The sequence below is a fragment of the Homo sapiens genome, chromosome 1, assembly GCF_000001405.40.
Source record: "Homo sapiens chromosome 1, GRCh38.p14 Primary Assembly".
In the NCBI taxonomy this organism is placed as follows: domain Eukaryota; kingdom Metazoa; phylum Chordata; class Mammalia; order Primates; family Hominidae; genus Homo; species Homo sapiens.
Window position 1 is genome coordinate 200,866,696 of NC_000001.11, and position 6,285 is coordinate 200,872,980.

The 6,285-nt window shown below is 45.5% G+C and overlaps 1 annotated feature.

Moving 5' to 3' along the window:
• Positions 234–283: a silencer, noted in NCBI's record as "silent region_1678". NCBI's record gives its function as "represses an Ori minimal core promoter by ATAC-STARR-seq in GM12878 lymphoblastoid cells {active_cell/tissue: GM12878}" and the evidence as "EXISTENCE:reporter gene assay evidence [ECO:0000049][PMID:35858748]".

Below are 6,285 nucleotides of genomic sequence, written 5' to 3' on the forward strand. Positions count from 1 at the left end.
TCACACAGCTGCAGGCCACAAGGCTTTCACATTGAGTCATCTCCTTAGCAGTGTGGGCTGAAGCCGAGTCTCATGTCTAACTCAGATGATGCCCTTTCCCAGCTACCCCGTATTTAGTACCTGAAAGTTTCTGAAGTAAATGAACATCTGAAACATTCTGCAGGGCCTCTGGCATCCAGGGTGGGGCTCCTCATCTGGTGTGTGCCAGCCCTCCCTTAGATGTTGAGGGTGCAGGGTAGGGGCAAGAGCTATTACTGTCTTCTGTCCTCTAATACCCTGTCCCTACCACCCTCCCCGCCCCCCGCCCCCCACCCCACTCACACACACGGCCTCAGGGCTATGTGGTCTATGGGAAACCTCATCTTGGTAGCCAGTCAGTAATAGTGAATAAAATAGAGGACTCCCCATTCCCAGTTCAGTGTTTATCGAGAGAGGTTGTAAAAACAAAGAGATGTGGCTTTGCAAGATTTTCCTCACACTCAGGACTCAAGTTACTGTTAACCTCTCCGTCATCCGCAACTGACTTGGCATAAGGCCACCTGTCTGTGCTTGGGTCCTGTCAGCAGTTTCTCTGCAGCATCCAGACTGTCACCTTGTAGAAATCACCATTAGGATAATACCAGGCACCAGACACTGTGGTGGTCAAATCTTGAAGAGTCAAATCTTGGGAGTCTCTCTTTATAGATTCCCAATCCAATCCCCAAAACATTTACTTACCACCCACTATGTGGAAAGAAAGCACTGTGACCTGGAGGGTAGGAGAAGCAGCGCAAGCAGCTGAGTCTAGCAGCAGGACCACCAGAAACTAGAGCCATTCTTCACGATGCTGCCAGCCAGGGAACGGAGTGAGCCCATGAGCTCCGACCCAGCATGGGCAGCACCTTCCACAAAGGGTGCCTCATTTGATCTTCACAACACCCCTATCGGGTAGATACTATCATGCCTATTTTAAGATGTGGAAACTGGAGCCCAAGATCACACAGCTATCAAGTTATAAAGCTGACATTTAACCTGGACTCTGACCACTAATAATCTGATCTGCGTGTTCACTGATCAGAAACAGACAAAATGACATATAAGAAATTGATATTGGCCGGGCACAGTGGCTCACACTTGTAATCCCAGCATTTTGGGAGGCCAAGGTGAGAGGATCGCTTGAAGCCAGGAATTTGAGATCAGCCTGGGCAATATAATGAAACTGTGTCTCTACAAAAGGTAAAAAATAACATTAGCCAGGCATGGTGCTGTGCACCTGTAGTCCCAGCTTCTCAGGAGGCTGATGCAGGAGGATTGCCTGAGCTGAAGAATTTGAGGCTGCAGTGAGCTATGATCACACTGGGCTACACTGCAGCCTGGGCAACAGAACAAGCCCCTGTCTATTAAAAAAAAAAAAAAAGAAATGCATATAATAAAAAAAAGAAATGCATATAATAAATTCTATGTCACAACACAGAGCAAGGTTTTAAAAATATATATTTTAAATTTAATAAATGATGTTAGGAAAGCTGGATAGAAATATGAAAACATCGATTACACACCAGGTAAATTTTAAAATACTAATGAAAATTATTTTTTAATGACAGACTGAATCTTCTTACATTGTCAAAGAGAAAGTAACATTCTAAACTCTGAAATTGCTAATAGCAACAAATTTGACTATATGAAAATGTCAAACTAAAATAAATAATAGCTAAGAAAAGAATTTGGAAAAATATTTGAATCAAGTGGAATAAATCATGACTCATCCTAAATATATAGTTTGTACAAATTAATAAGAAATACATAGATTATAATAAATATGTGAAGGACATGATTAGAATGGTTCACTTAGGAAATAAATAGATTTTCCATCTTATTTATAAACAAGTGCAAATTGAAATGAGGTACCATTTTACCTCACTGCCTATTACAATGGAAAATATATGTTACCGATGAACATCTCTAAGAAGACTGTGTTGAACCTTATACTCTCATACAATGCCAGTGACATTCTAAACTGCTAATCACTGTAAACATTTGTATCAAGCAATAAAAATTTTCATTGCCTTTGTTACAAAATTTGTATTTATAACGTGTTTTACAACATATTTATATAAATGTTATATTTATACATATTTATATAAATATGTTATATTTGTACATATTTATATGTATATAAATACATATTTATATGTACTTATACAAGAGCATTTATGTTATAAAAACAATATAAAAAAGTCATAAGTGCAATTATTCATTACAAATTTCTATAACAGTTAAAAATACTAGAAACATCCTAAATATCCATATTTAAGGGTTTAGAAAATTAAGCAACATAGACTCATGTGGATTTATATGATATTAATTGAGAATACTGTGTACACTCTAATTACAGATACGACTTTGAAACACCTGTGTAAAAAATGTGAAGAATATCTGAAATGGAATATTTAAAAATAGAAAATCTAAAAATAATGAGATTACAAATAAATACTTTTGAAAATGTCCTTCACTGGCTAAGTTTGGTTGTGTAGGGGTAGCAGGTCCAAGATGACGACTACTTCTTTATTCTGTAATGTATTAGATGGCTTTTATGATTAAACATAAAAAGGCAAATACAATTTACTTAAAATGTTAAGATTCTTTGTACAGAAAAATTAAAATTAGAAAAAATAAGTTATAAGAACTTAAATATAACCTGTAAAGGGGCAGAAATAAACCTACTCTCGAAAACAATTTAGCCCGAAGCATTGGATATTTATTTAAAGTATCTCCTCTGTTTTCAGGCTTGTGCTAATCACCCTGATGAGTAGAAAGAAGCTCCCCCTCGCCCTGAGAAGTTCATAATCCCATGGGCAAGGCAAGACGGAGCCACGTAACAGTTGCCCTGGCTCCAGCAGTGCAGAGAGAGGAAGTCCTCTTAGGGATGGAGGTTAGAGAAGGCTCCCAGGGGTGGGATGGAGGAAGAGGGAAGACTTCTTCTGCTTTGTCCACACCTGTTAGAGAGCATGGCCAGGATTCCCAGCCTGTAAGGGTGAGTGTTTCTATTAGTTGACTTGTGTGTAATCCTGTGGGGAGTCCTCCTGAAGGGTGAAAGAGCAGTCTTGTGAAGTTGGCCTTGGTCACTGAAACCGGGCTGGGCACCCCAGGAGACCGGGCCTAAGGCAGTGTCCCTGGCTCTGACCTTTGCTGTTTCTTCTCATCCAGACAAGTTCAGTAAGGCCCATGGACAGCACCCAGGCCTCAGCAGAGAAAATTCAGCATATGCTCTGGGCCACAGACTTCCCTTGGGTATGAGATGATGGCCCAGGAAGCAAGTAGCTCTGTGATTTTTAAAATAACCTACTTCTACTTCCCCTCAACCCCCTTCCTATATTCCCCTCTTGGTCTGCTTGCCCCATTCTTTGTTTTCACCCGGCGGCTTCTCTGCTGTTCATCTCTAGCTTTCAGGATCACTCACACTCTCTGAGCCCGCAGACTGAGGTGTGCCTGAAGGGGTGAAGTCCAGCAACACTGGGTCTGTCTCTGATGGTCTCTGGGCTCTGGCAGGCAAGCACTGCCCCTGCTAGCCTTCTAGGGGAGGAGGCTGCAGCCCCCTACTCCACCCCGGATGTGGGCACCGCTCACCAGCAACCACATGCTCAGACATTAGAAAAGCGGCTCTGGGGTGGGTCTTCAGGGGAAAACCAAGCCCGGAGGCTGAAAAGCCAGTGAAGGGAAGGTCCAGACCATTCATTCCCTAGGCTCTTCTCTTCCCTGCCCATCTTGTAATTGGTGTGGGAGAAATTCTTGACAGGAGCAGCCTAAACACTGCATACCCAACCCTCTGTGAGCTCTAGGACCATTTTCTTTTTGAGATGGAGTCTCGCTCTTTCACCCAGGCTGGAGTGCAGTGGCTTGATCTCAGCTCACTGCAACCTTTGCTCCTGGGTTCAAGCGATTCTCCCACCTCAGCCTCCTGAGTAGCTGGGACTTGCGCGTACCGTGCCCGGCTAATTTTTGCATTTTTAGTAGAGACAGGGTTTCACCATGTTGGCCAGGCTGGTCTCGAGCTCCTGACTTGAAGTGATCTACCCACCTCGGCCTCCCAAAGTGCTGGGATTAGATGTGAGCCACTGCGCCCGGCCTCTAAGACCATTTTCCAAATCCTTCCTGGGGATCTCCGTGTGCCAGAGGGACCCTGAGCGAGGGTGACCTTATGTCCCAGTTTGCCCAAAATAGTCCTGGTTTACGGCCCAGGTTAATTCTGATAGTGCCCCTTTCACTCTCAGAAACATCCTGGTTAGATGATAAATTATTTCATGACCCCACTTCAACATCAAACTGAACACATACACACATGTGCCTCTCTGTGTTCTTGGCAGTTAAGGGGACAGCGTCCATATAGTCCCTAAGCAGAGAAACCCCAGGCTTATCTTTGACTCCTCTTTGTGAGACCTATGATGTTACAATTATCTCTTGAATATACCCTCCCATTTCTGTCCCCACTGCTCATGATCTATTTCAGACACAAATAATTACAACCTACTATGGGGTCTCCCTGGCTTGAGCCTCTCCCTTCTCCATAGTTCTGCCAGCGATCTTTTCAAAACACAGATCGATGCCTCCTGGCTCCCCATGACCTATAGATTGAAATCCAAATCCCCTCATGATCCTTTCCTGCTTCATCTCCTGCCCCCACCTTCCTACCCTGGGCTCTGGCAGACTGCTTGTCCCCTGAAAAGCCCACATTCCTACTCATTTTGGTATACTTGTTCCCTTTACTCCCTCCTCCGAGTCTGACCCTTTCTTCTCTTTTCTGCTGCTCTTATTTGACTTTCAGCTCCTTCCTGGGACTGATCTCAAGTGTCATCTCCTCGAAGGCCTTTTCTGATTCAGCCCTCCCGTCAAAAATAATCACTCCCCCTCCACTAAACCCTAAGAGGGCTTGGTTTTTAACATTTACTACAATTTGGCCCCTGCATAAGATTACATAAGATTCTGCTTATGTAACCATCTCTCCTGCCTATGCAACAAACTGCGAAGGCCAAGAATGGCATCTCTTGCAGTGCCTGAAACAGTGCCTGCTTCATGGAGGAGTTCATTGTTAACAAGTCTTAATCGAACAAAATTGATAATCCACCTCAAATTTTCCACACCGGGTTGCCCGGCACATCAGCCACTCATACCTGGGAACACTGGGGACAGACTCAGAGGGCACTGTGACATCAGTTCTACCACAATATCTTGTGGAAGGGATATCTGCTAAGAAGAATTCAGATGTAAGTGGCTGCATGCCTCCTTCAGGAGAAAGAGCAAGCTTTCCCTCACCCATCCTCTCCTCCTTAGGTCCCACTGCCTCCTCAGGGTCAGACTTCATTCCCCCTCGTCTTTATGAATCCTCCCCTTACTCTCAGTTTCTCAGTTCAGAAGGGATCTTGCTGCCTCCAAGCTCCTGACTCATAATTTAGGACAACTAATCTGGTGTTTCATTAGGTGTCATCTTTTGAACTGAGCTTACATCTGTGTCTGGCTTGACAGGTTTTTTAGGATAGGAGAAGACAGGGAAGAGGCAGATGTGAATCCCAGGTTTCACCCCTTTCCAGCAGGATGATCTGACTACACCCCTTCCTCGCTGCCTTAAAACCCTTTCGCGTGGCTTCATGAGGACCTGACTGGGTCAGAGAAGCCACTCATAGGGTGAAGACATGAGCCCCACATCTCAGGACGCTAACAACTGCTTGACTGCCCAGGGCGGGCTCCCCCACCCACCCAGATCTGCTGTGTCCCGGCAGTGGAGTCTTTCCTAGGGAACAGGTGGATTTGGGGTGGGGCGTGCCTTAGGCCCCATACTCATAAAATCCCGGGGCTCTGTCTTCTCACCTCTAAAACAGAGAAGACAGCAGCCGGTGGGTGCAGGTGGGAAGGGGTGAAGTGGAGGCTGAGAAGAGGTTAGGGCTCTCGGGCACCCACCACCTCTTGCAACGCGACCCTGAGACAGTGGGGCAAGTATCCCGATTTCACGAACAAAGAAACTGAGCAACTAATAGAGGAATGGGCCACGCTCCTACTGGGAGGCCGGGCAGGTCTCCCAGCCCTGAAGACTTTTCCTCCCAAGATTTAGATGTGAAGCCCCTTTTGCCTGTCCCTGCCCTTACCCCTCGGGTCAGCCCCAAATCGGAGGCCACCATCTCTCTCACAGAAGCCTGCCCCTCCCACCCCATCCCCTCCTCCCTCCCCTCTTTCCTGCCCACCCATTTGCCTCCGGCTTGGGTGGCAGGAAGGGAGGTGCAGGGCCGGGCGTGAAGAGCAAACCCCCTCCTGCTC